Source organism: Homo sapiens, chromosome 11 (genome assembly GCF_000001405.40).
Source record: "Homo sapiens chromosome 11, GRCh38.p14 Primary Assembly".
Lineage (NCBI taxonomy): Eukaryota > Metazoa > Chordata > Mammalia > Primates > Hominidae > Homo > Homo sapiens.
The window spans coordinates 73,214,536-73,242,460 of record NC_000011.10 but is presented as its reverse complement, the minus strand read 5'-3'; the positions used below and the strand labels follow the sequence as shown (position 1 = coordinate 73,242,460).

The window sequence follows — 27,925 nt, the reverse complement described above, 5'->3', positions numbered from 1 at the left end:
CTCTGAGTGTCCACTTGGTACCTGCCAGGACTGCCCCTCGCCCCTCACCATCCTCCCTGGAACATGTGATCATTCAACACACACATAAACACACGTGCACACACACAGAGACAGCACACACTGTGTGGACTAAGGTGGCAGGCTTTTAATTTCCTCCCCCACGTTTTACAATTGCTTTGGTCACAAAGGCAGGTCTAACAGTTTAATTCCACGCCAGAGAGGAGGGGACTTTTCATGTGGCTGCTGATTTGGAATTTGGTTCCAGGACATAAATCTGAGGACACATGGGGTAAAATAGCCCGCTTTCTAAAGAAACCTGGAAACAACTGGGGTAAGACATCTTCTCAGGGTTCCTTGCCCCAGCTCTCTACACACCCCACCTCACTCTACACGCTGAACCCTGGGCACCATGGATTCAAAGACATCTTTGCCACTGTGAGATCTCAGCCAAGTGTGGGGTGTGGGGTGGGAGGGGGACAGGCTTCCACATCCCCAGCAGGGTGTGCAGGAAAATCACTCAGGGAGACCAGGGTATCAGTCAGAGTCCCAGCAGGAAAGACGTTGCACACTCTAATCAGGTCATTTTGGGATAGCTTAGCGGAGAGACTGTTTTTACAAAGGTGTGGACTGATGTTTGGAGAGTTCTGTGCAGGGGGCACTGATGGCCCAGGAAGCAAGGTCAGCAAGAGAGGGCTGTAGCATCACCAGGAAAGACACATTGGTCCCTTTCCTCCCCACCCTGCCCCAACACCTAGAGGAGAGAGGGACCCAGAAGAGGAGTGATGAAGGTCCTCACAGCATGGGGGAAGAGGACAGGTGAGCATTCAATTAAGCAGGCGATGGAAATCTTAAACCTGACTTTGTTACCCAAAAGTGACTCAAAAGTTTGGAGTTTGCCAAATGCGCAGTTTATGGATGGGAAAGGAAAATCACACGTCACTGAGCAGGGAGCATGGGTGGGAGGAAAATCAAACAGTTGCATGTTTGTGCCTCACTGCATTGTCTCTGTCTAGTAAACCGGGAAAAGAGGTATTGGTATTACCAGTTCAATTTTCCAGATGAAGAAACTGAATTTGCAGTCCCAGAATTGGTGATGGCTGAACTGTGCCAGAGCCCTGCTCCTGCATCAGCTGCCCTGTGGCCCCCACCCTCCCCTTTGCCCCAGAGCTGCTGCTCTGTCACCCTGAGTTCAGTCACAGTCAGCGTGGGCTGCTATAACAAAATGCCACCGACTGGGTGGATTAGAAACAAGAGACATTTATTTCTCACCATTCTGAAGACTGGAAGTCTAAGATCGGGGTGCCAGCATGGTTGGGATCTGGTGAGGGACCTCTTCCAGGTTGCAGACTGCCAACTTCTCATTATATCCTCACATGGTGGAAAGAGGGTGAGGAGCTCTCTGGGGTCCATTCTGTAAGGGCACTAAACCCATTCATGAGGGCTGCACCCTTAGGACCTGGTTACTTCCCAAAGGCCCCACCTTCTAATACCATCACCTTGGCAGTTGGGATTTTGACATATGGATTTGTGGGGCGGGGGACACAAACATTCAGTTCCTAACAGCCACATTTGGTAAAAATGGGACTCAGTGGGGAGAAAGGGTTTAAGGTCAGGCCCCTGCACTGGGCTCACTCCAAGGTCAGAGCATGAGCTGCACCTCTCCACCCACACCACTTGGGCTGCTATCCCAGGTGCCCATCCCAGGAAGCTCAGTGGTGAGCTCTCACCACTGTAGCTCCAGTCCAGGAGCCACAGACTGGAGCTAATGAAGTTGGCTGAGGCAGTGGGAGCAGCCAAAGAGCCCTGGGCTTACACCTAAGCTTCACACTGACTGCTGTGTGACTGGGTAAGGCACAGCCCTCTCTGGGCCACCAGTCCCACTAAGCAGCCAAACAATCCCTGGGGTCCCTGCCAGGAGGGAAAACTCATTCCAACTGGTTGTGTCTCCCAGGAGTCTCACGTGATGTTTCACAATGGCCTTCAGGAGTTAAGAGCCCCAGGAAATGACATCAGGGTGGGGAGGTAAGGAGCAGGGCCAGGAGGTGAGGAGCAGGGCAAAGAGGCTTGGAAACTAGGGGCAGGAGATATTTTGGGGCAGGCAGGTCCCCCGCGTCACTGCTGGACAATGGTCCAGGGCAGTCATTGTACTGGGAGTGGAAAATCCTCTTCTGACTCCATCTGCAAGGGCTGAAAATAGTCCAGGGCCGTGGGTGGAGCCCCCAGGGACAGGGGGTGACTGGCCCTGCCTGGCCCATTGTTCCTGGCTGGGACAGGGCTGAGACTGACACCTGAGCTGGAGCCAAGACAGAGGCAAGCCCAGGAATTCCCCCATTGGAGGAGGAGTGGCCAGGCAGAGCCAAGTCCTATCGAAGATGGGGAAAGCGAGGCCCAGAGAGGGACAGTGACTCCCCCAAGTTGCACAGTGCATCAGGGCAGAGGAGGATGAGTTCGACTCGGGCTCAGTTCTCACCCCAACCCTTCACCCCCACAAGCACACCCCTCACTCTGTAGTCTGGTCACTCCTGGCCAAGCCCCACCCTCCACCTTGCAGGAGGCAGGAGCTCCAGACATCGCACTGTGTGGCTCTGTGTGGCGGCAGTGGGGTCACTTCACTTCTCTGGTCACTTGATGCTGGGGAGAAACACTGCCTCCACCCTAGTCCTCAGAGCTGGGGGCCTGGAGGGTCTTGGAAATGCCCGGGGAGCAGCTGTTGGTTGTGCCTTCACTGAGGTGGGGAAATTGGAACAGGGGAACAGGTCTCCAGGCCCTACAGTGCAGTCCAGAGAAGGCAGGCAAGTGACCTCAGGTCACACAGCAAAAACTCCCCATTTGCTGCCTGCCCTTGCCCAGCTCCAGACCAGTCCTCTGCTCCTAGATCTGTGGACTCTTAATGAAGTGAGAGGTGGCTGCAGAGCACCATGGTGGACACCCCAGTCAGGGAGAAATGGCTACCCTGCTGCCGTGGGAGGGTGCGAGCTCTCTAGCCTGAAGTGGCAAGTTTCTGAAGCTTGCTACTAGGGGCCCCCTCTTCCTCCTCTCCATGCTGCCCTCCCACAGCTGGGCACCTGGACAAGGTTCTGTAAACAGCACAGGCCCATGGTCCTGAAATCCACCTACTGCCAAGCAGGGCAGAGGTGGTCCCACACATTCCCCCAGGACAGACCTGCTTCCCTCCTCCCACACCCCACGGGGGTTCCCTGGAGACGTATGGCCCACTGTTGCTCACTGGCCAGACACACTGTCCTCTCCTTCAAAACATGTATCCCAATGTGGTTACGTACTAAGTGATGTCAACTCTGTGAGGGCAGGGCCCAGCTGATTTGCCTCCATAGCCCCCGGCCTGGTGCCAGGCATATAAATGCTGACCACACACCAGGCACTGTGAGGAGGACTTTGTGCGTAATAACGTAGGGAAGCCCCTCAACGCCCTGCATGGAAGGTAGCAGCACACTTTAGAAATGGGAAAACTGAGGTGCTGCAAGATTAGGTAACTTGCCCAAGAGACCCCAGCCAGGAAAGTGGGGACAATATTGACACTGAGGTGGTCTGGGTGGAGCATCTGTGTTCTCACATCCTTGCTACACTGCCTCTGTCATCTTGAATCATGCGAGGGGCCACTTATAGACCCTTCTGCCCTGCAGGGCTGTGAGTGTCGTGGGGCACTATAAAGGGCATGATTCTGGCCATCAGGTGAACCTGGACTCACTCTGACTCACCCTGACAGCCTGGATAACCTGGAACAAGTCCTCACTTCTCACGCCCTTCTCCTGTTTCCTCATCTGCTAAATAGGATCATAGCATCTACTTCCCAGGGCTTCTGTGAAGCATCCACCATATAACATAGATGAGAGGGTGCGTGGGACATGGGTCAATACACGACTTCCCTCCCTCATGTGCCTGATTCTAAACAGAGCAGCCCAAATCTGCCATGACAAGGGTGACAGAGAGGTAGCTTTGGTGACTTGACCTGGAGCAACCATGTGTGGATAACATGTTGCTTAGGGCCTCTTCTAACCTCAGGGGGTGAAAGTGGGAATGTACCCTGGGGTTCCTCCATCCCTCCTGGACCCTGGGACACCTGCCACCCAGGGCAGAGACCCCTGTGTGCCAGGGACCCTGCCCTGATGTCATGCAGTTCATTGAGAACAGCTGCTGCAGGCACATCAGCAGACATTTACTCCCTGACACTCAACTCTCTACCCTCCCTTTCCTCCCATCCCTGTCCTGTCCCTGGCCTCAGGTCTATGGCTCCATCCCAGTCACCCTGGGCAGGAAGAGCTGGGCAGTGTGAGTGACAGCAGGATCGTCACCAAGGCACTTGCTTACATCCAGGCGCCACGCTGACCTGCTGAATGACCTTGGGCTCAGCCCTGCCCATCTCTGGCCTTGAGTCTGCAGCTGGGCTGGATAATCCCTGGGGTCTGCTCAGTGGATGGGCAACTCACGTGCCCTTTCACAGTGGCCTTCATGAGTCAACAGCCCAGGAAGTGATGTCAGGTTAGGGAGGTGTGAAGGGGGCAGGGAATATTGGAGGGTAATAGGAGATATTTTGAGGGCAGGCAGATCCCCTCACGTCACTGCTGGACAATGGTCTGGGGCCAGGAGTGGAAAATTATGGTCTTACTTGGGCTGAAAATAGCATGAGGCATCAGGGCAGGAACTTCACCCACAAGGCAAGTGGCCTGGGCACTGAGCAGCAAGGTGGGACGTGCATACCAAGGGGCCAGGCAGTCCAACTGGGTTCCAGAGGTGCCCCTGGTTCACCCAGGGTCTCCAGTATCCACCCCCACCTGTGCCTGCCACAGGATTAGATGGTGAACGAGCCCCTCCTGTGTCCTTGTGGAGTGGCTCGGGCCTGTGGGAAAGGCTCAAGGGTGGTTTGTAACAGGCAATCATTAAGAAAGCTCAAGAGGGGCCGGGTGCGGTGGCTCATACCTGTAATCCCAGCACTTTGGGAGGCTGAGGCAGGTGGATCACTTGAGGTCAGGAGTTTGAGACCAGCCTGGCCAACATGGCGAAACCCTGTCTCTATTAAAAATACAAAAATTAGCCAGGTGTGGTGGCGCATACCTGTAATCCCAGCTACTTGGGAAACTGAGGCAGGAGAATTGCTTGAACCCGGGAGGCAGAGAGTTGCAGTGAGCCAAGACCGCAGCACTGCACTTCCAGCCTGGGTGACAGAACAAGACTTCGTCTCAAAAAGAAAAAAAAAACTCAGAAGGACATCGGCTACATTAACAGAAGTATAGAACCTAGAAGGTGAGAGGTGAATAGCTCACACTATTCTGGGCAGGTCACCCACCTGGCACAGTACAGAGTAATCATTTGGGTCATGGTCTGTGATGGGTCTCTGTCACATGAGGGCGCTGTGGAGTCAGGCTCCAAATACAGCAAGCTTTGGGGATGTCCTGCCTTTCACAAGGCAGAGTGGGAAGGGTGGAGAGGTCAGAGGGGGCAGGCAGAGTGGGCCACAGGGCGAGGGCTCTCCCAGAGGGAGAGGAGGGAGTCCCTGTCCTTGAGATCAAGAGTGAGGCCTGTCAGCTTTGCCCTGTCCCTTTCCAAAGGCTAGGGCGGGGCCCTGTCCAGCTGAGCGCCACACGTCAGCCCAGAGTGGTCCTGGCTAGACTCAGAACCTATCATAGGTGAGACCCATCTCCCCCATACTAAGTCCTGACCCAGCCTGAGCACCACCCTGCCATTCTGGGATTTTCCCAGAAGGCAGACGATGGACAGGAGGAGGAGTGAATCTCTTTCATATTTACCCCCAGTGCAAAGGAAGCCTCAGGGTCAGGGCAAGGAGGGAGCCCTAACTTGGCCTCCTTGTGACCCAGCCCCAACCCTGCCTTGAGCCTGGAGTCAGCTGTCCAGCCTGCTTATGGCTCATGCACACCCTGCCCTCTTGCCCCATGTCTTTGCCTGGGATGCATCCTGTGTGTGGATGTTCTTCCGGTGAGCTGCTTTTCTCAGAAGCTACAGCTCAGGAGTCTCCCACTCCAGGAACCCTTCCCTGACCCCCTGGCTCACAGCCCCAGCCACTCGGCATTATCCAGTGGTGTGCTAGAGTGACTTGTACCTGCTTGCAAGAACCAATTGTTAAATTTTCAGGAATTTTACAAGGAAGTTGACATCATGTTTATAGTTTGAATTTGGCCATAAGAGTTTTTGCACCATGGAAATGGGCAGTTCTACAAAGAAGGGGTTCCCAGTTAAATCGGAGCTCCAGTTAAATGGCTTAACATTTACCAGCACATGACTGGCCATCACCTAAACTGGGAAATCTCAAGGACTGGGACTGCACCTGACTTTTCTCTGTGCTCAGCACAGAGTCAGGCACAGAAGCCAACTGGCTTTACAGTGGGGGATGACCTGGGGCCTGGAGAGAGGATCCCTGATATGAGACTACTCCTGAGACAGCTAGTGAGAAGGCAGGTGGCAGAAGGGAACGGATTGGAGAAAGGACCCTTGTGTGGCTGGTGAAAGCTTCCCTGCCATATCCTCATCCCCCGACCACACAATAGGGCACAGCTCAGCAGGCAACACAACCTTTAGTATAAGTTACAGCCTCACACTGGCTCCTAGCCCATGGGAGCCTCCAGATGGGTCTATGATATTAGTCCCCAGATGTTCATCTCTTGGGCTGGGGGTACTCCTCAGAGCTAAGTCCACCGTGGCACCCAGTCCATTCCAGACCACTGTGCAAACTCAGCCCTCATTACTTACCAGGGTTTTCTGGCCAACCTGTGACTTGGCCCCCACCCCAGGTAGCTCAGCTCCAGACTCTGGTATGTGATCTTGGTAAGCCACCTTCCTCTCTGGGCCTGTTTCTCCATTTGACTTGATTAGGCTGGACTCCAACCTAGGTACCTTGGCAGTACAGCCAGCTACTTGCATGGGAGTCAGGCCAGGGGTGTCATTGACCTTGAGCTCTTGCCTTTCTTGAAACTTAATTCCCCCAACTTATACACACAAACGATGACTAGGGGTTATGGGAACAGTTGACTCTGGACCACAGAGTGAATATCCTGAGCCCCTGTCAAATGACGGAGCATGGGGTCATCCAGCATGAGTCACTGATGGTCCATATCTGGGGAGACTGTGGCGTCTGCACAAGTCCTGGTCCTCTACAGCTTCCCAATATAAACCTGCACAGGCTGAAGTGTTCTGCTCCTACAGCCGAATGTCCTTAGTGTTCTCGCTACCAGCCGGCGTGGACTCTGTCCGCCTAGAGTCCTCACTGCTGCCCAACACATCTTCTATCCTCTGCATGTCAGTTCTGTCGGATCTGCGCAGGCCCAGCCTGCGGCGAGCCGGGGTGGCAGGGCTGGGGCCAGTGGGTGGCTTGGCATCTCGGGCAAAGCGTACGAGCCTCTGCCCAGCCAGGAAGTAGAGCACGGGGTCAAGGCAACTGTTAGCACTGGCCAGCGGCCGGGTAACCTTGTAGGCCATGTTGATGGCGTTGAGGGTGTGGCAGCTGAGGTCCAGCGAGCGGAAGGAGTAGTAGAGGGTGCGGGTGACGTGGAATGGCAGGAAGCAGAGGGCGAAGACAGCCAGCACCACGGCGATGGTGCGCACGGACTTGCGCTTGGCCCTAGGCAGGCCGCCCGAGGTCCCGTAGGCTGGCTTTAGCAGTCGCCGAGCCATGAGCACGTAACAGACAAGGATGACGGCAAAGGGCACCGCGAAGAGCAGGCCCAGCATGACTGAGCTGTAGGCCACGAAGCGGCTGAAGAGCTCGGGTGCCGAGGTGTCGTGGCAGGTTACGCGGCCCCCGCGCGCGCTGGTGGTGACAAAGTAGAGCACGGGGGCCTGGCAGGCCAGCACCAACACCCACACGGCCCCGGCCACCCGGCGAGCGTAGCGGGCCCGGCCCCAGCGCAGGGAGCGCAGAGGTCGTAAGACGCCCAGACACCGGTGCACGCTGATGCAGGTGAGGAAGAGGATGCTGCAGTAAAGGTTGGTGTAGAAGAGGAAGCGCACCAGCTTGCAGAGCACCGTGCTGAAGGGCCAGTGGTCGCCGCGGGCGTAGTAATAGACCAGCAGCGGCAGGGAGGCCGCATACAGTGCATCAGACACAGCCAGGTGGAACATATATGTGGTGGACGCATTCCAGGTCTTGAGGCGGCACAAGAAGATGTAGAGCGCCACGGCGTTCAGACACAGCCCAGGCACGCACACCACGCCGTAGGACACAGGCAGCAGCACGTACTTGAAGTCCTCGTTGAAGCGGCACCTGTAGCCCAGCTCATCCCCATCCCAGGTGCCATTGATGGTGTCATTCCAGGGGCCCAGGTCTGCTGCCATCGCCCTGCAGGGAAGGGAGGGGTGGGGCCATCAGGGTTGTGGCCGGAGCGCCCCTAGGGGACCTGACACAGCCACCTGACCAGGGCTTTCATTGCCATCTGACTTGGATCTGGACCTGGAACCTCCAAGCTCTGGAACCTTGAGAATGCATGAGATCAATGAATAAATATCAGGATCACACAATTGTCAAACTTGAGAACAGGGGTAGACAAACTATAGTCCAAAGGCCAGATCCAGTCTGCTTTTGTAAATTCAGCTTTGTTGGAACACAACGGTGCCCATCTGTTTACAAAGAGTTGAGTAGTTGTGATAAAGACCATATGGCCTGTGAAGTCTAAAATATTCACTATCTGACCTTTAAAAAAAGTTAGCTCAAGCTGGCTACGGTGGCTCATGCCTATAATCCTAGCCACTCAGGAGGCCAAGGCAGAAACCAGGTGTTTAAGCCCAGCCTAGGCAACAAAGTGAGACCCCATCTCTACAAAATTCTTTTAAAAATTAGCCAGGCATGCTGGCACACACCCGTAGTCCCAGCTACTTGAAGTTTTCTTACCCCTCTCTAGAACCTCAGGATCAGAGTTTTAGATCTAGGATTCTGAGCTCTAGAATCTGAGGACCTGGGGGTGCCAGAGCAGGTAATTTTGAGTTCATGGGAAGGGGCCTTTGAGGCTGGCTGGCCCTGCTTCACACCCAATGCCTACTGCCTGCAGAGGCATTTCTGGCCAGTGGGCATCCAACAGCCCCCTGCAGGCATTACAGAGTTCTCTCCAGCTCATTTTCCCACTCTCTGGGAGGCTCTGGGCCCATGCCTAGTGTTCTGGTATTTGAGGAAGTATTTCCAAGGGTCTCCTTCTTCAGTTATTCCTTCACTTTTTACATCTTCCTCTATTCTGGCACTTTCTATATCTATCAACAGCAGTCCTGCCCCTGAGCCTGTGAGGCTACCAGGGAATCCCCCTGAAGTAACCCCCGTGAAGAGTCCAGGGAAATCTGGGTTGGAGATAGGGATAGGGGGCCAAGGGATCTTCTTTTGTGTGGTAAATGCAGCTTCTTCCATGCCTATCCAGTTTCTCTCTGCATATCGTCAGTATCATGGTGTCCCCCCCAACCTTGTCCCCACTGAGCATATAACACACCCATGGGGACTGACCATCCAACAGACAGTGAGTGCCCAGGGAGCAGCTTGTCCCCTCCCTCTCCTCCTTACCCCTACCCAGGTGACCAATTAAGAGCTCTCTCGCAGCTGGGAGGTAGAGGACAGACATCCCGGCCTGGAAGACAAAGACGTGCCTAACGTCCCAGGAGGCAGGTTGGAAATCATAGCAGAAGTCCTGGGTGGGCAAGTTTGAGAAAAACACAAAAAAGCACTTTCTAGCAGTGTGAAGGGGCAGGAGGAGCTAACATTTTTCAAACCCTACTACTAAGCATGCTTTCTAAAAGTTATTCACTTAGGCCGGGCGCGGTGGCTCACACCTGTAATCCCACCACTTTGGGAGGCTGAGGCGGGTGGATCACTTGAGGCCAGGAGTTCAAGACCAACCTGGCCAACATGGAGAAACCCTGTCTCTACTAAAAATACACACACACAAAATTAGCCTGGTGTGGTGGTAGTCCCAGCTACTCGGAAGTCTGAGGTGGGAGGATCACCTGGGCCCAGGAGGTGGAGGTTGCAGTGAGCTAAAATCATGCCACTGTACTCCAGCCTGGGTGACACAGCAAGACTCTGTCTCAGAAAAAAAAAAGTTACTACACTTTATCCATATGATGTGTTCTGGGGGCCAAGTCACCATCCCCAGTTCTCCAATCAAGAGGCTAAGATACAGATCATGTAAGTTATTTGGTCAAGGTCATGCCACTGGGGATGGGCTGCAATATCTGTCCAGGTCCAGCCCCTGGAAGTGGCTGTAGGAGGGTGGTAGTGAACTCCCTGTTTATGGGAGTATGCAAGTGGCTCTCTAGCAGAGGCTGCAGAAGGGCTTGTGCCTGTGTGGGGGTGTGTCTGGGAGGGTGGAAAGGGCAGATGAAGAGTGAGTCCTCCTCATCCTGAGAATCTGGGGCCGTATAATTCCCTTTATTTTATTTTATTTGTTTATTTTTAATTTTTAATTTTTAGACGGAGTCCACCTCTGTTGCCAAGGCTGGAGTACAATGGCCTGATCTCGGCTCACTGCAACCTCTGCCTCCCAGGTTCAAGCGATTCTCCTGTCTCAGCCTCCTGAGTAGTTGGGATTACAGGCACATGCTACCACACCTGGCTAATTTTTATATTTTTAGTAGAGATGGGGTTTCACCATGTTGGCCAGGCTGGTCTCGAACTCCTGACCTCAAGTGATCTGCCCGCCTTAGTCTCTCAAAGTGCTGGGATTACAGGTGTGAGCCATCATGCCTGGAATAATTCCCTTTATTTTAGATCCTGGAGTTCTAAGGGACTGGGGGACTCTGCAGGGCCTGCAACCTCTACTCCCATAGACCCTGAGCTGCTTTTCCAGCCCTGGCTTCCCGGAGGCAGTTCAAGGCCCAAGAGGCTGAGATTAGGGGTGCTGGGGGGTGTAGAGATCCTTCAATTTCCCTTCTTTTTTTCTTTCTTTTTTTTTTTTCTTTTTGAGACAGATTCTCACTCCATCACCCAGACTGGAATGCAGTGGCGTGATCTCAGCTTCCTGCAACCTCTGTCTCCTGGGTTCAAGCAATTCTCATGTCTCAGCCTCCCAAGTAGCTGGGATTACGGGTGTGTGCCACCTCACCTAGCTTTTTTTTTTTTTTTTTTGTATTTTTTAGTAGAGATGGGGTTTTGCCATGTCGCCCACATTGGTCTCGAATTCCTGACCTCAAGCAATCCACCCACCTCGGCCTCCTAAAGTGCTGGGATTACAGGTGTGGGCCATGGCGCCTGGCCAGTTTCCCTTCTTTCACCAAGACTCCCAGATCTTCTCTTTCTCCTATTGTCAGCAAATGTTTACTCAGAAGGAAGGGGGCCTGCACCCTTGTTCCCCCTGCCATGGACACAGATGGCTCCCCAGGAGCCAGGGCAAAACCAGGGCGAGGAGGCCGGGAGATGCTTATGTGGTGCCAAGTTAAGAAGAGACAGGTAGATGCTGGGGCTCTGGCAGGTCAAGTGGCTGAGACCCGTCTTACCCAGGGTCAGGACAGTTCCTGCTGCCAACTTCGTTCCAGGCTCTACCTCTTGTTGCTGGAACCACTGCACTGGCTTCCCTCCTCCAGCGCCACCCCCACCCACCCACCCACAAAAATCCAGAGTGGCCTTTCTCAAAGAAAGCATCCCCCTACTTGAAATCCTCCTGCCGCTCCTACCCTGTTTCAGGAGAAAGCCCAGCCCTCAAGTCTGGTGCCTGAGGTTTTCATAACTGAGCCTCTGCCAACCTCACCCGCCCCAACCCCTGTGACCTGCAGTTTCTTGAATGTGCCCAAGACTCTCCCCTCCCAGCCTTAGTTGCTGCTGCTTCTTCTACCTGGAGTTCATTCATAGCCCTCGTCTCCACCTGTTAAACTCACGGCTCTTTATCCCTCAGTGCAGAGAACCCAGTGATTAAGAACCTGGGCGCTGGAGCCAGACTGCTTCTGTTTCCTCAGCTGTAAAATGGGACAATTACTAGAATCTCCACCATGGGACTGCTGTGAGGGTCGAGTCATTTGCATAAAATGTCTGGAGTAGAGCCTGGCACACAGTAGGCCCACGGTGGTGTTATGAGTGCCAAGGTTCAGCTAGCGGTGGCCTTTTCCAGAAACCTTTGGCCACAGTGGAGGTGGGACTGGAGGCTGTGGAGGTGATTGTGGTGAGCCAGGGGAGTGACACTGAGAGCCAAGCAGGGGAAGGCCTTGGGCCCTGTGAGGGGAGAGATGTTTGGGAGGGAGGCTCTGGAGACTGTTCCCTGATGGAGGAACGGTGGGGAGGAGGAATGCAGTGTCAGCCATGGCAAGTATGGGGATGGGCACAGGCTGGGTCCCTCAGGTCTGGAGCTTTGGAAGGCCAGCTGAGAGTCGCTGGCTCACAGAAGCTGCAGGAGGAGCAAGGAGAGGCCCCCTTGCGAGACTAAGGAGCTACGGAGAGGCCACATTCCTTCCCAGGACAGAGCCTCCCCTGGGTATCAGTAAGCCGAGGTTCGAGTCTAGCTCTGCCACAAAACGCCAGGTGACATCAAGCATTTCCTTCCCTCCCAAGTCTCAGACACTAGTCAAATCCCACAGCCTTGAGAACTGCAGCCCCAAAATATCCCCGGGAGGTCCTCTGCCCCACTTGGACAGGGAGGGGGCTTCCTCCATGATGCAGACACACACACCCAGTCTCCCCTTCACGCCACTGCTCTGTTTCTGCCCCCGTGCCGAGGCCTGACTTCCCTTCACAGTCAACATAAACATCTCATCACCCTGCATGAAGAGTTTCCTGCTAATCCCTAACAGTGGAATCTCTGACACTGAGATGAGGGGTGGAGACTTCCCTGTCTCCCTTGAATTAAGAGAGCTGCCCCTTCCGCCTGTTTTAAGACACCCTGGCCCCCACCCTCCCAGGCCAGCTGGGGACTCCATCGCCGTGGCCCTGGGCCAGACTCACCCCTCCCGCCCTCTCATTCTACAGGCTGGCTCACCAACCTGTGAGTATATCTTTCCTAGCCCTGCCTTAGAGGGACAGCCCCTGCCTTAGAGGGACAGCCAAGTCCCCAGCCCCCTCCCTTAAGTCTCCCTTCTGCCTCTCCTGACCCTGATGCCCCTGGGACTAGAGACGGCTCCACCTGACTATCCAACGCTCACCAGCCCCGCTGCGCCCTGGTCTGGCTGGCCCTGCCCCAAGGAGCTCCCAGTCTGGAGGGGAGATGTGAGCCTTGTAAGACCCTTCCAGGCTCCCCTGCCTGTGTTCATGCTGTTCTTTCTCACTGGAAAGCCTTCCCCGAACCCACCCACACTGCACCCCATTGTAGGTCCCAAAGGATCTTCTAATCTCTGAAGTTCTCCCTTCCATCACCCCTCAGGACGTTTCTCAGCCAGTTGGTAATTTGTCCTTCCATCCTCTACCCCAACACATTTCAGGTGCTCCTTGAGGGCTGGGTCCATCTGATGCTTTTCTCTGTCCCTATCATCCAGCAGGAGGCCTGACCACAGGAGGTATTACAGGAATGAGAGAATGAATGAATGAATGAATGAATGAATGAAGCAAGCACAAGAGGCTATGGGGGCCCAGAGGAGGCACACACAGGCACAAGCCCTCTGCAGCCTCTGCACACTCCCATAAACAGGGAGTTCACTACCTACCTCCTGCAGCCACTTCCACTGTGGGATGGACCTGAATAGGAATTGCAGCCCATCCCCCGTGGTGTAACCTTGATCAAGTTACTTACAAATTACTTGCTCCTCTGAGGGCCTCTCAAGGACAAAAATGCTTAAAGGTTTCTTAGCTGCTGACCCTAAGTAACCAGGGGACAACCCAGCCCCTCTAGGGGTTCTGGTCCACCTGGAACCTGCTTATGTCTCTAGACTGTCTCTCCTTCAACTGCCACAGGAGCCCAGGAGACTCTGCCTTTCTCTGGACAGGTCAGGGAAGTGCCAGTGGGAGGGGATTGGACATGGGCGCTCTGGAGATGGATTGGCTGTCTGAGGCCTGGCTCAGGACCTCAATAGGTCTGATCAGGATTCTCTACCCACCCTGCTTTGTAAGGGCCAGACCTGGGCTGAGCAGCTTTCACACAGCATCTTCATCCCCCACCTCCATCCCTTGGTAGATATTGCCATAGAGGTTAAGCTATTTGTACAAGGTCACACTGCCGGGCATTGGAAAAATTAGGCTTGACACCCAGAGCTATCTGGCTTCAAAGCCTGAATTCATCACAGCCTGGGATGGGGGAGCAGGGCAGGGCACCTGCCTTCAGATCCGCTTGATCTAAGCCAGTTCAGGGCAGACACAGGCAAGACAGCACACCCGCCCTCACCTCCCGGCCAGCGTACCCGCTCCCCCCCACCCCCACCCCACGTACCTGACCAGCCCCTGCTCTCCAGGTCAGGATGCTCAGCGCCTGCACGGGTTCCTCACTCATGAATGCACACGCCTGGACCTGGACCGGGCTGCAGGGAACTCTGCGGGAAACAGGAAAAACAGGTCCCCAGGCCTGGGGCCACGCCCAGCCTCCAGCATTTTTCTGGGCAGGTAGTGCTGCTGCCACAAGGGGCTCCTGCAGACAGAGGGAGGTAGAGAAAGTGCGGTCTCAGGGTCATGGAAACCTACCCAGGTCAATCCCCCCCAGGGCCACCTCCTTTGTGGTAACCTTAACCAGAAGGAGGCAGAGAGGTGGCCTGGTGTTTGTCCTGGTCTGAGTGCCTTCTGTACACCCAAACCCCAGCTCATGCATTCCAGGAATGGGTTATCCACAACCCCCTTCCCCAGGCCGCCTTTCACAGAGGGGTGGCCCTGCCTGGAGGAAGGTCTCCCCCATGTCCTGTACAGCTGAGCCAAGCCTCCAAGCCTCCAGTGTCCCTTCCCTCGGTCCTGGTTCTGTGCTTTGGCCCCATAGCAGGAAAAGTCAATACCCTCTTTGCCCAGTGTGCATTCTATTGTCCTTCTGCCAACACACTTTTGCCCTTCTGCCAATACAATTTTGCCCAAGCTAGGTTTCTATCTAGAGACCCCCTCCTCCCCACTCCTACCTCTAAGCATTCCTCGTTAGGTGTTATAAACACACATATGCCACACCTGAACACACACTGGCACAGACACACCAAGACACACGGATACACAGAGGCATGCAGAGTCACACTAAGGTGTACATGCAGTGGACGCAAACGGATGCACACACACACACACACACAGTCTAGACCATCAGGGCCTAAAATGGCATTTAGAAATCTCCTGTGCCACATATACAACGTGGAATACTTGCAGTCATAAAAAAGGATGAGTTCCTGCCCTTTGCAGGGACATGGATGAAGCTGGAAACCATCATTCTCAGCAAACTATCACAAGATAAGAAAACTAAACACCGCATGTTCTCACTTATAAGTGGGAGTTGAACAATGAGAACACATGGACACAGGGAGGGGAACATCATACACCAGGGCCTGTTGGGGTTGTGGGGCTAGGGGAGGGATAACATTAGGAGAAATACCTAATGTAGGTGATGGGTTGATGGGTGCAGCAAACCACCAGGGCATGTGTATACCTGTGTAACAAAACTGTACGTTCTGAACATGTAACCCAGAACTTAAAGTATATATATATAGAAAAAAAAGAAATCTCCTGTGTCAAACCCTGTTTCACAGAGGAGGAAACTGAGGCCCAAGCCTCACAGTAAGTCAGGGACAGAGCCAAGACTAGAGCCCAGCCCTCCCGAATTCTGGCCGTGGTTTTTGTCTCACCTTGGAGCCCCTTGTGCACACCAAGCACAGGGTTTCAGGGAGGGGACAGTTGCCTGGTGGAGGGGACCTTCTGTGTGGGCAGGTCCCACCCTCCACCAGCACCTCAGGTACCTCACAGGAGAAATAGAACATGCACCTCCTGAGTTTTTCTTTTTCCATCTTCATTTGCCTAGGATGGAGGAGTGGGCCTGCGACAGCTGAGCCCAGGTTCCCAAGCTGGAAGTGCAGTACAAGGCTGGGGGGATGTGGGAGAGGAGATGGGGGCACTGCAGGAATAGCTTGGGTACGGGGGGCGTGGGTGCACACGGGAAATGCCTCTGGGCCACTGCTTACTGAGTGCACCTTGCCTGGTGGTCTCAGATTGACAAGGCCGGTGGGCTGGTAGCTCCCCACTGATCTACTCTAGAGACTATGACAAGGTGAGGGATGGTCAGCCTTTTCACCCTGCTGCACCCAGGTGCACACCCTGTCTCCTCCTCCTTAGAAAATGCCTTGACTCAACAGGCTAAAATGGAGAATATCACTTTCCACAAGTGGTTCTCATTTCTGAGAAGGGCCCCCACCATCCTTCCAGGTTTCAAACCTCTGATACAGCCTGGACAACCTCCCTCTTCCCCACCCTGCTGGAAGCCCACCACTCACCAAGCCCTGTTAGTCCAACCAGTGAAATTCCTCGGACATGCACTACGCGGTCCCCACACTGCAGCCCGAGGCCTGTGCTTCCACAGTCCACAGCAGCAGCCTCCTCACTGGCCTCCGTGCCTCCACCCCTGCCCCGTCTGTCCACCTTTCACACTGCAGTCATGTAGTTTCCTGAAACACGAATCCTACCATACATTGTTGAGCCATGTTTGTGGCTCCCTAGTGCCCTCAGGCAACTGTCCCAGCTCCTCAGCCTGGCACTCAGGCCCTGGCTGATCTGGTACCCACCATCCCTCCAGAAAGCCCATCCTCTCTGTCCCTGCCCTCATCTTCCTGTCTCAGGCACAACAAAAGCAGTCCCATGGTCATATCATTGCTCAGAGACGGCCTCCCTTATCATCTAACACCTATATCACAACAAGAGTTTAGTGCTGTCCCTGTGCCAAGTTCTGTGTTAGGTGGCTTCATATACCTCCTCTCGTTGAATCCTGAATTAGCAAACGGCATAGCCACTCTGGGCTGTCTGATTTCAGAGGCTGTGCCCCTGACCACTACCTCCTGCCCTGCAAGGCCCCGGCCCTCTCCCAGGAAGCTGCCTGACCATCCCTTTTTGGCCCCACAGCTCTCTGCCTGTCTGCTCAGTTCTCTGCCAGAGGAATGCCAATTGGCAGGGCTCAGGATTTACTCTTTTCAGATGGGTGGTTATTGCACCCATCTCACAGGTAGAAAAACTAAGGCCAGAAAGGGGTAGCTCAAGGTCTCACCCAAGGTCACCAGTGAGCCAAGGGCAGAGCCAAGCCTAGCATGCAGACCTGTAACCCCCTGACCTGGCTCTGCCCCTACCCCAGTCTGGGCCTTTCTCTTTGTGGTTCTAGGCTAGTGAGGCCAAAGTCAGGAGGAGGAGCTGGGCAGCTCCCAGGCCACTGCAGAATTTCCAGGGTGGTTGGATGACATTCCAGCCCCTCCACTAGAGTGGCTCTGGAATGTGCCTCCCTGGCTGGTGGCAGACCCTGTCTAGCCTGGTAGGGGAGAATGTGCTGTCACCACTGTGGAGACCCCTGCTGCCTATCTCTGCCAGGAGTTGGGTGCTGTGAGGGAAAACAGAGGACCTAGTGCCAGAACCTCATTGAGGGGGCAAGAGAGGCACTAGGCAGGTGGGAAATCCGAGTTCTCCTCTTTCCAGTGGTAAGACAAGTCTCTTAACTCCAAAACCCAGATCTCAATTTCCTCTCAATATCAGAACAGTACCTGCCTCAGAAGGTTGTTGAGCTAGTTAGATGATTTAGGCTTATTTTATGAAATAGTAAGAGAGAATATTTCAGCAGGTAAAGAAGGCATGGAGGGTGGGGTTATCTCAGGAAGACAAGAAGGGCAGGAAGCTTCGCAGGAATTATGGGAAGGGGATACAGGAAGGTCACAACCAGAAAAACCACAGATCAGGTCTCCCACACTGAAGGCCATCCTCAGGGGGAAGGCAGTCCAGGGATTCCCCAGCAGAAGCCAGATAGCCACCATACTCTTTCACTCGCTCACCCTTCACAAAGGTTGCCACATCTATGCCCACTGCTGGGCAGGGCACCTGGGGACTCTGAGGTAGGTCAGATCTCAAGGAATTCACTGTCAACGTCAGGGGAGGCACACTCAGAAACAGGCGATGATAACACAGGGTGATCAGGCCTGGAGGAAGCCAAGGAGGCCCCTAACAGGATTGGAGGGGTGATGAGGGAAGGCTTCCTGGAGGAGAGAGCGCCTGACCTGCATTTTGGAAGACGAGGAGTCAGGTGGTTGGAGAGAGAAGAGGAGCAGAGTGAGGATGAACAAGAGATGACATGACACGTTTGAGGAACTGCTCATCATCCTGGTGGCTTGAGGGGAGTGGAGAGGGCAAGGCTAGAGTGCACAGGCTGAGGAGCTTAGAAGTCACGCTGGCTCCTCCCCAATGTCCTTCAAGGGGCTGAAAGCCAGCAGGCCCCCTGCCTTGCCTGACATGCTTCTGCACCGGGAGCACCAGGGCCGGTCTGAGGAAATGGCTAAGGGGTAACCTCAGATGCTATCAGCCGGTGCTGTTGTGGTGTTAGGCACCCCCTTCAGGAGGCCCTTGGGCTCTCTACCCCCTCCCAGATGTTCTCTCCCTCTTTGGGACCCCCCTAGGATCCTGGCTGTGGAGGCCACTCACCAAGGCTGAGCTCAGAGCAGCATCAGAGTGGGTAAGTCTCAGATCAACCAGGCTTACAGATCAGAAAGCCAAGACCTCTAAAGAGGAAGGGCCTTACTCAAGGTCTAGTGTTCCAATTATTGTCAGTGTGGGTTTGACCACCTCACCCCCAACATAGAGCAGGACCCCAAACCACCCATCTCACCTGGAACCCAGCATAGCCCAGAACAGGGCTACAGAGACATGCTACTAAATTAAACAGGCTCAGAACCACAACGTCCTGGACACCACCCCAACCTATCACAGCCAAATGCCTCCAGCTTCAAGAGGCAAGAACCGTGAGTTCAGGCTCTAACTTGGAGCCACCTGTGCTGTGCAGTCTTGGTGAAGTCAGCCCCCCTTCTCAGAGCCTCGGGTTCTTCAGTGGTCAGATGGGGAGAATCACTGCTGCATGGGACAGCTCATGAGGAATAAGACAAGGGGGCAGGTGGGTGCACCTTGGCGCTAGCAAATCATGAACTGTCCTAATGTGGAGGCTGTGTCTGCCTGTCACAACAGGGAGACACTGAAATTCAGGAGCCCATGACACTGCTTGGTAGGGAGGCCCTCCCAGGTGTTCCCCAGCAGAGGGACAGAGGTCATGGTCAGAGCAGTCAGGCAAGGTCCCTGGAAGGGGAACTGTGATAAGATTTGAGGAGGAGCAGGAAGGGTCCAGCTTGGGAGGAAAGAAGGTGGATGGAGAATCCAAGGTGGAAAGGGGGATGAAAGCATCAACCAGGAACCACATGAGCCTCTGATTCTGAGATGGCCCCTCCAGGTACCTCCAGGATTCTGAGTTCCCTGGTTCTCGCAGTCTAATTCCAAGAGGCTCTGGTTCCGGGTGTGAAGGCTGTGTTTCTTCAATTCTATTACTCGTTGCTCCTGATAGCCTTTGGTTTTGAGATTCTCAGAGCCACAGGGGTCTGGATTCAGAGTAATGAAATCTTAAATCACATTCCCAGGAACCACAAAGTCCCAGCAAACACTTGCCAATGCTCTGGTGCACCTGGCCTCAGATGGACCTTGTGAACTCAGACTCAGATTGCACTCTGCTGGGCCCTTGAGGAGTACCCAGTCAGGCTGAGGAAAAAGACACAGACATGGACCAAATCCACTTGGGTGAATAAACCATAACCAAGGCAAGCCCAGGGGTTATGGAGCACACAGCAACTCCTACCTGGCCTGGGGGAGGTGGTCAGGGAGTGCTTCTGCAGAGGAGGGGTCATCTGAGCTGGAAACTGGTAGATGATTAGGAGTTTGTCAGGTGGGCAAAGAGGGAGGAGGGCTCTGAAGGCAGGAGAGGCATGAGCAAAGACTTGGTGGATGAAAGTGTGACCTGCTGGAAAAAGGCTGGGAGGTCTTATACGGCTACTGTGGAGGGTGAGGTGGCATGGAATGTGTGGGAGCCTGAGGAATTCACTTGAAAAGGCTCAAATGCCAGGCTGAAAAGCTTGGCCTCTATTCTAAGGACACTGAGGAGCCATGGAAGGCTTAAGAGGGGAAGGACATGGTCAGAGTCAACCTTTACAAAGATGGTGCCACATGGAAGGTAGATGGGACAGGGAGTCTGGAGGGAGGGAGACCAAGGAGGAGACGACACATACGGTGGTGCCATGAGAGGAGCAGGTCCCTTGGCCCTGGATTTCCTGCAACAGCCCAGCCATGGCAAGAGTCCCCCTCCTACAAGCCAGGGCTGGGTGGCTGGGCACTCACCAGGAAGCCAGGTCGACACCCAGAGGCTCTCCTCAGACCTGGGGAGGGAGAGGCCACATAAAGCCCCAGAAGTCTGAGGGAGGTCCCTTTCCCTCACTCCAGCACCCAGGCCTCTCATTCAGGAGCTACAATGACAGTGACAAGGTACCAGGGCAGAGGGTCAAGGAGTTGTTCCACGGGGCCCAGGCTGCTCACCCTCCTACCAGAAACTCCCGCTACTCATCTTGGACCAGGAAAGACTCAGGCCTAGGAGATGGGGTGATGGGGTGGAGGAACTCCTCTGCTCCAGAACCAACTATGGCACTCCGTGGAGCAAAGCCTCCCCTTCTACTCCATGCCTACTCCCGCCTGGCCACTCATTTCCCAAAGACCCACTGGCAGCTGCTCTGAGCCCAACCTGTGGTGGCTGATGGGGACAGAGAGAGAAAGCAGGTATGGCCTAGCCTAGTCCTGCAACTGGCCGCTGGATGAGTACAGAGGTCAGAGTGGCCCACACAGCCAGCCTCCTCCTATCAGGGCCCAGTAATAAGGGAAGGCCAGGCCTCAGGACCCAAGGACAACCAAGAGGAGGTGTGGCCCAGAGGGTATAGCAAGCAGGCCTACAGAAAGCAGTTTGGGGAGAGGCGGTTTGGGTGGAAGGCATGAGGGGCAACCCCCACTCCCCTCACCAGATCAACAAGGCATCTCTGGTCCCGTGGGCAGGTCTGGGCAGGCGTTACCTTATCAGCAGTTGGGTAATCTGGCCACAAGAAAGCCCCAAACACAGGTTCCCAGGGCAGAATTCAAACTCCCCTCAGCCTGGAAGCCAGAGGACCAGGCCTAACCCTAACAGGGCTCTGTCTCAGATGGGGAGGGCTAAGCTGGCAGGTGGACTGGAGCCCCAGGTTTCACCTCAGCTTGGTGACCCTGGGCAGGATACAATCCATGCCTCTATTTCCTGATCTGCAAAATGGAGATACAATTCCTCCCTCACAGGGCTATAGGAAGACAAAATGGATTGTTGTAAATCGTTACTAGTGAAGCCATCTCTGCAGAGGGGGTGGGGGAGGAAGGCATTCAGTAATCAAATTTCAATAACAAGCACAATCCCTTGCTATTGCACCCATGTTCTCTTATAGTCTTCAAAATGGATTTAAGTCTACAAGTGTCACATTCCTCCTCTGAGCACTGCAGTTTAAGGCTTATAAAGCTCTTCCCTGGTCACTATCTTAATCCTCGTAGCAACTCTGCTCTCAAAGAAGCAAGGATCACCATTCTCAATTTACAAATGGCAGAACTGACACCTAGAGAGGGACAATGGCCTCTCTAAAGACTATAGCCATTAAGTCAAAGCTCTCATGGGGTCACTCATGAGGCCCTGGTGATACCCTCACACCTTCTTAGCTGGTCCTTGGGGGATCCACAGCCTTAGAGCCCCATGCATCCAGGGCAGGAGGGAGACAGAAACAGAGGAGTCACAGCCTCACTCCACAGCCCAAGCTTGGTAGTCATTTCTGAGGGTTGCCCACTGGGATCCCCAACCCCTCTGACCAGACTCCAAGACAGCCCAAGGCAGGGAGAAGAGGAGAAAGAGCGACAAGCCTTTTGTGCCAGAGCCTCCCCACACACATACTCTCCCATGCAGGATCTTACTTGTTCTGGCCTCCTTTTAGAGCCTGGCAGGGCAGGAACTGGTCATTCAACCAGCTGGGAACAGAGCTGGGATGAGATCAATTGCAGGTCCCCAAATTCCTCAGCAGGAGCATCTGAAGGCTCAGGGAAAAGTGTTTGGCCAAGGGGCAAGGGCTCAATTAGGGTTCAAACAACTCCTGGGACAGTTCTAGTGTTGACATCACAAATGCCCTGACCTCCCTGCACTTGGCAATACTTGATCCATTCTCCATCCTGCAGCCAGAGAGCGCTTTCTGAAATGCCGCTCTGACCATGAAACACCTCTGCTCATAAATTTCCATGGCTCCCTATTGCCTTCAGGATAAAATCTCTAGGTCTTTAGCCTGGGCACTCTAGGTCCTACAGTGTCCCAGATCACACTGTTCTGGCAAACTGTGCCACCCACTTTGATAACCAGATTCTGGTTTGCCCTTCTTTGTAGTGACATGGAGCTCCCCTGCAGCCGGGCCTTTACTGGAGAAGCTGGTGCCAGAGACAGGGGATGGGCGCCACTGCTGCTCTCTCAGTTCAGCTCAGCCCTGTGCAGGGTGCTGGCAACACAGAAATAATAAGACCCAGTTTCTGCCCTCCAGGAGCCCCTAGACCTGGGAAGAGGAAAGGAGGAGACAGACATAGATCATGACGGTTCAGGTGGGACCAGGGCTGTCAGCCCCAGGCCTGTAGGGGCCTAGAAGAGGCTCCAACCCAGCTGTAGGGATCAAGGAAGGCTTTCCAGAGGAGAGGACATCTGAGCTGGGTCCCAAGTCTGGGTAGTTCTCCAGTTGAGGAAGGTGAGAGTAGGAGGGCTTATCAGAGAGGGAGTGTAGAATATGCAACAGGCCAGGGGCAAGAAATGAGAGACTCCAGGCAGCTGCTGCAAGGTAAAGAGTCAGGCGGGAGAGGTGGCTGGAAAGGCTGGCAGGCCCCAGTTATCAAATACCTTAAGTCCCAGGCTACAGGGTTCAGGCTTGGTCCTGTGGAAGGCTTGTGCCCTAGGGAGGGGCACAGTTGGGATTCTGGTTCTGGGAGGCTCCTTCCAGGGACTGACTTCCCATCCCCAAGCTGTGAGCCTGCCCATGGGGGGACACTGGTGCTGAACATGACACACTCATCAGCTCCTCAACAGCCCTCAAATTCCTTATCATTAGTCCCTTCTTACAGACGAGGCCACTGAGGCTCAGAGAAAGGACGGCTTGCCCAGGCCACACAGTGGCCAAGACAGGATTGGAACATAGATCTCTGAGTCTCCAGAGCTCTCTTGTGGACCTGTCTGCTCAGAGAATCTTCTTCCTTCCACTTCCACCCACAGGTAATAAACTTGCCTGGGTCTCCACCCAGATCCTCAAAACTCATAATTATTTCAGCTTAGATCCAAAACAAACCAGGCAGATCAGGCTGTGGTCCTGGGAAGCTGGGGATGCCATGCTGAGAGGAACAGCAGCCATGGACCCCACAAATCCCGAGCTGGCAATTCTGGTCTCCAGCAGTCCCCAACCCTTGGGCTGCGCTCCTGGAGGACCCCAAGAGGGCCACTGGCAGCCTTCGGGTTGGGGGGTGGGGTATCGCCTTTCTCCTGACTGACCCTTTCTACCGCACCATTTGCCAGATTAAAAGCCCGGGGACAGAGGCTTAACTGTCCTTTCTGGCCACTCCCTCCTCCCCCGCCCACTCCCTGCAACTGCCCCCTCAACATTACCAATGGTAGGTGGCCACCCAGAGTGACCCTGGGGTTAGGACAGTGGTAGGGGGTCTCCAGGGGTTCGCGTCTCTGGGCACCGGCCACCGCCTCACGCCACGGGGACGCTCACATCGGAGCACACACAGACAAGTTCCGCAGGCTTGGCCAGTCGCCCCGAGGGGCGCACACACTCACCCGCTAACACGCAGACCTCCCCAGTACGCTGACGCGCACAGCCTCACTACTGGGGCGCCCGTCCACACTCACCGAGACCGACGCTCCCGTGGAGACAAAGTTCAACCACGGACCCACAGGCGCGTTCAAGCCGTCCAGTTATGCGCTACACGCCGGCTCGCAACTGTGCCCCGGGGCGACAGCCGCTCCACAGCGCCCTCCCCTGCCCCGCGCCCAGTCCGCACCTGCGCCAGTCTGGCCCGCCGCTTCCCCGGGCCTCTCCCAGCGCCTTGTTCCCTCCAGACGCCCCACCCCACCTCTCGCCACTGCGCTGCGCTTCTCCTCTCAGGGTGCCGTCGCCGCCGCTCCCGGGTGCCAGTGCCCGGGTCCCGCCGCAGCCGCAGAGACCCACGTGCCTGGGAGCCCGGCTACCCACCTCCCTGCGCTGTTCCCCAACCCCGAAGCCGGGCCAGGCAGGGGGCGGGGCGGACTTTTGACTGACCCTGGCACCGCCCTCAACCCGCCCGGGTAGACACCGCGCCACCCGCTCCGGGACGCCGCCCAGCGACAAGGCCGCGGGGTCAGCGTGTCTGTACCGGTGCTGCAACGGGAGGGTCGGGCGGCGACGCTCTCACTGCCGGGCCAGAAGGAGGCCTCCCGGCTCCCTCACGCTAGAAGGGAGCTGGTTACCAGAGGTTTTCAGAGACGCCAAAGTTTTGCCAGGTCAGCCCGGTGCCTGCGTGGCCCACTGCGGGACCTTTGCGCCCAGCCACCGCGCCACCCTACCCCTGTCCCGCCCCTGCCCCAGCCCGGCTGGCCAGGAAGGGACCTACTGGGAGATACCTGCTCGGAACCCCAGGCTAAGGACGTACCTCCCTTGCTTGAAAGTGGGGGAAGGGGGTGCCTCTCTCCATTACCGTGGTTAGGAAAGCAGGGTACTCAGGATCCCGCCTCTCCCGTGCTCCCCACTTTCCCTGCCTTAATCTTATCAGCAGCTCCCTGAACTCCCCACTCTGGCCCCTTATCTTGAGCTGCTTTACCTCTCTTCTCTGTCGTCAACCCCACTCTAATGGCCTTCCCTGGTCGGGCTACCGGCTGCATGTCTGACCCGTTCGGAGACTGTGAGCTCCCGAGGGCAGGAACCAGGTCTGCCTTCTTCCTGCTGCTGTCCTAGAGGTCCTGGGAGGTGCTCAATCCTTGAAGGTGTGAATGGATGAATGAATGAGCACCCCGCCTCTCTCTCATTTCTGGTCTAGGAATCAGGAGTGTAGGTTCCTGTCTGGCTTCAGCACTGACTCTGGGAGACCTTGACCCAGTTCCATTCCCTGGCAGGGTCTTCTTTCCTGTGAAATGGAGCCAATCGCTCCGCTGGCTGGACAAGTGCAGAGGAGGCCTCTTCCTGTAGCCAAGGAACTTGCCCCGGGCCTTCGGGGCCTTGGGCCCTCTTGGGCTCCATATCAGCTGACTGGGCCTGGCTGCCAGGAAGGGTGCTGGCTGCAGCCCCACCAGGAGCAGTAGCAGAGTGGACACACAGCCCATAGTGGCTGAGCCGCCTCTGCAGTCCTGCTGGGGCCTTTGCTTGGGAGACACAAAGGCCCCTTGTCTAGCCTCCTGCGCCTATTGTCTAAGCTGGGCCACGCACCTTCCAGGGACCTAAGTATCCTCATAGCCCGAGTTATAGGGCCTAGGCCTTCAGGTTCCAGTGTGGGGAAGACCCTTTGGGCACTGGAACTCCAGCCAACCCTCTCTTTCTCTCCCCTCTTCCAAAACTTCAAACCTTATACTGTCACTGCCATTTAGCCCAGGAGAAACAAGTTTCTTTGACGCCAAGTTGAGGACCCAGGCTCGACCTTAGCCTTCAGCGGGCAAATCTGGTTGGTGGCCTGCCCAGGGCTCTGCCCCTGCTCTGGCCCAATTCCCTTACTTTACAGCTGAGGAAACTGCATTCCTGAGACATACAGCGTTTCAGCTACCACACAGGTGACTTAGTGAGGCTTGAGGAGCAGAGGAAGGGGCCTAGTCCTTGAACCCCATAGCCTTGGGTTTAGATTCCAGTCTTACCTCACCTGTCCTATGACTCCTCTCTGAGCCTGAGTTTCCTCTTTTGCAAAAGGGAGTAATACTAATCTCTCACTTGCTGGCCTGTCTTAAATTTTTTGAGAAAGGGCCTCACTCTGTCACCCAGGCCGTAGTGCAGTGGCATGATCACAGCACACTACAGTCTCTATGTCCCAGGGCCAAGGGATCCTCCCATCTCAGCCTCCCAAGTAGCTGGGAATACAGGCACATGCCACCATGCCGGGCTAATTTGTAAATTTTTTGTAGAGATGGGATCTCCCTGTGTTGACCAGGCTGGTCTCAAACTGCTGAGTCCAAGCAGTCCTCCTGCCTCGGCCTCCCAAAGTGCTGGGATTCCAGGCATGAGCCCCTGCACCCTATCCTTAAATTCTTTTTTCATGGTTTTATTCATCATCCCAAGCTGTCTGGGCTCAAGGCGTTAGTATCCCATGCAATGAGGGCCTAGAAGTTTCGTCTCCTGACATCCTCCCCAGGCAGTCCCATCGCTGGGTTTCAGAGGCCATCAAGCCCAGCAGGCTTCAAATCCCCCAACAGAGTCCCCCTTACCTGGGGCTGCCTGGGGAACTCCCATCCCACTTCAACTTGAGCACCTTTGCCTTTGTATTTTTATTTATTTACATTTCCTGGTAAGAATTTGTTGCAAGCACATGAAAGATTTTGTGGCTGAAGTAATGTAAAACCATTGATCAAACCGGAAATTGAGACACAGCCAGCGTCACACAACAGGCCATCTGAAAGGCTGGAATAGCATCGAGGGAGTCTCCCTGGAACCAAGCAGCCAAGGCAGGCTAATGGTGAAGGCCCAGGCACAGTAATGGTCCCCTGGAGGTGGGTAATGGAACCATGGGGGCGGGAGGAGGGTTCCATTAGCAGTAGCAGATCAGGAGGGGAAGGGCAAAGTTCCAGCCTCAGCTTCTCCCATGTATTAGGAGGCTTCCTGTCTCTCCAGCCCTGAGGAGGTATTTGGCTCATTCAGGCCTTTTCATCCTCCTTCTCTCAACTTCTCTCATTGCCCCTGGGAAAACTTGCTCTGAAAATGCATGCTGGGGATGAAGCCTCTGCCCTGGCCCAGGCTCCAATCCCCCCTTCCCAGGGTACAGTGGTGTCTCTGTTGCCCCTTGATGCCATACCCTGCCTTACACTCTCTGGTGGCTCCACCATCCTCTGGATAAAGCCTAGCTCTCTAGCCTGCCACTCCAGCCTCCCTGCCTCTCTGCCTCACCTCTCACCTCTGACCAGCCTCCTGTTGCCTCTTGCTGCTCCCTCTGCCCACAGTGCCCCCTGCTTCTGGCTCCCCACCATGGGTCCTCGAAGACCCAGGCCAGGTGCCCCACCACTTACCATGCTGTTATTGCTATCACTGCCTGTCTCCCCCTCTAACAGGGATCTCTCTGAGAGCAGAGCCAGGTTCCATTCTGTTCACAATTAAATGGCCAACACCTAGCACTGTCCCTGAATAATTTTTCTTTTTTTTTCTTTGAGATGGAGTCCTGCTCTGTCATCCATGCTGGAGTGCAGTGGCGTGATCTCAGCTCACTGCAACCTCCGCCTCCTGGGTTCAAGTGATTCTCCTGCCTCAGCCTCCCAAGTAGCTGGGATTACAAGTGTGCACCATCACACCCTGCTGATTTTTGTATTTTTAGTAGAGACAGGGTTTCACCATGTTGGCCAGGCTGTTCTTGAACTCCTGGCCTAAAGCGATCCACCCGCCTTGGCCTCCCAAAGTCCTGGGATTACAGGCGTGAGCCACCGTACCTGACCCCTGTCCCTGAACATTTGTCACAATATATTATGAGTGAATGAGTAAGAACTCTATTTTAGTGGTCACCTTCTTTGTGCTAGTCATTAAGTTTAAGGTATCTCGCTTAATATTCTCCAGAACCCTGTGAGATAGGCATTATTTTATTCTCATGTGACATGTAGAGAAACAGGTTCAGAAAGGGGAAGCGAAAGTCCAAAGCAGTGAATCTGCGGTGGGTCTCCTGGCCCCAGAATTGCAGCCTGATGGGAAGGAAGGCCCTGCTGAGTTCCCAGAGTTATGGCTGGGTCATGGCATTGGGACCCACACTGGCAGCTCCAGTTACACAGGGCTGGGCTGGCTCTAGCAGCCTTGTCTTACTTGCTCCCTGAACTGC

The 27,925-nt window shown here is 54.9% G+C and overlaps 1 protein-coding gene and 1 long non-coding RNA gene across 5 annotated transcripts, besides 6 other annotated features; one reads left to right on the top strand and one right to left on the bottom strand.

Annotated features, from left to right (window-relative positions):
* On the bottom strand, positions 34-24,180 carry P2RY2 (purinergic receptor P2Y2). Of its 3 annotated transcripts, none has more exons than NM_176072.3 (3): positions 24,029-24,180; positions 14,286-14,480; positions 34-8,439 (listed from the first exon to the last, which is right to left on the bottom strand). In NM_176072.3, the coding sequence occupies exon 3, from the start codon at positions 8,299-8,301 to the stop codon at positions 7,168-7,170; it is 1,134 nt and encodes a 377-aa protein (NP_788086.3). In that variant the 5' UTR covers positions 8,302-8,439; positions 14,286-14,480; positions 24,029-24,180; the 3' UTR covers positions 34-7,167. The 3 variants fall into 3 exon arrangements, with proteins under 3 accessions (NP_788086.3, NP_002555.4, NP_788085.3); NM_002564.4 differs by having other exon boundaries at positions 34-8,305; NM_176071.3 differs by lacking the exon at positions 24,029-24,180 and adding an exon at positions 23,805-23,899 and having other exon boundaries at positions 34-8,305.
* Positions 1,389-2,139: an enhancer, noted in NCBI's record as "H3K27ac-H3K4me1 hESC enhancer chr11:72951367-72952117 (GRCh37/hg19 assembly coordinates)". NCBI's record gives its function as "activates a minimal SCP1, AML or CMV promoter by ChIP-STARR-seq in naive H9 embryonic stem cells {active_cell/tissue: H9 hESC(naive)}" and the evidence as "EXISTENCE:reporter gene assay evidence [ECO:0000049][PMID:30033119]".
* Positions 4,323-4,617: an enhancer, noted in NCBI's record as "tiled region #2548; HepG2 Activating DNase matched - State 5:Enh". NCBI's record gives its function as "activates a minimal TATA promoter and a strong SV40 promoter by Sharpr-MPRA in HepG2 cells {active_cell/tissue: HepG2}" and the evidence as "EXISTENCE:reporter gene assay evidence [ECO:0000049][PMID:27701403]".
* Positions 5,203-5,252: an enhancer, noted in NCBI's record as "active region_5227". NCBI's record gives its function as "activates an Ori minimal core promoter by ATAC-STARR-seq in GM12878 lymphoblastoid cells {active_cell/tissue: GM12878}" and the evidence as "EXISTENCE:reporter gene assay evidence [ECO:0000049][PMID:35858748]".
* Positions 22,909-23,627: an enhancer, noted in NCBI's record as "H3K4me1 hESC enhancer chr11:72929879-72930597 (GRCh37/hg19 assembly coordinates)". NCBI's record gives its function as "activates a minimal SCP1, AML or CMV promoter by ChIP-STARR-seq in primed H9 embryonic stem cells {active_cell/tissue: H9 hESC(primed)}" and the evidence as "EXISTENCE:reporter gene assay evidence [ECO:0000049][PMID:30033119]".
* Positions 23,628-24,346: an enhancer, noted in NCBI's record as "H3K4me1 hESC enhancer chr11:72929160-72929878 (GRCh37/hg19 assembly coordinates)". NCBI's record gives its function as "activates a minimal SCP1, AML or CMV promoter by ChIP-STARR-seq in primed H9 embryonic stem cells {active_cell/tissue: H9 hESC(primed)}" and the evidence as "EXISTENCE:reporter gene assay evidence [ECO:0000049][PMID:30033119]".
* Positions 24,060-24,269: a silencer, noted in NCBI's record as "silent region_3736". NCBI's record gives its function as "represses an Ori minimal core promoter by ATAC-STARR-seq in GM12878 lymphoblastoid cells {active_cell/tissue: GM12878}" and the evidence as "EXISTENCE:reporter gene assay evidence [ECO:0000049][PMID:35858748]".
* LOC124902709 (uncharacterized) lies at positions 24,268-27,605 on the top strand. 2 transcript variants are annotated; one of them, XR_007062773.1, is made up of 3 exons: positions 24,268-24,434; positions 26,422-26,618; positions 27,273-27,605. It is a non-coding gene; the product is annotated as an uncharacterized LOC124902709 (long non-coding RNA). The 2 variants fall into 2 exon arrangements; XR_007062772.1 differs by having other exon boundaries at positions 24,268-26,618.
* Positions 27,606-27,925: the final 320 nt, after the last annotated feature.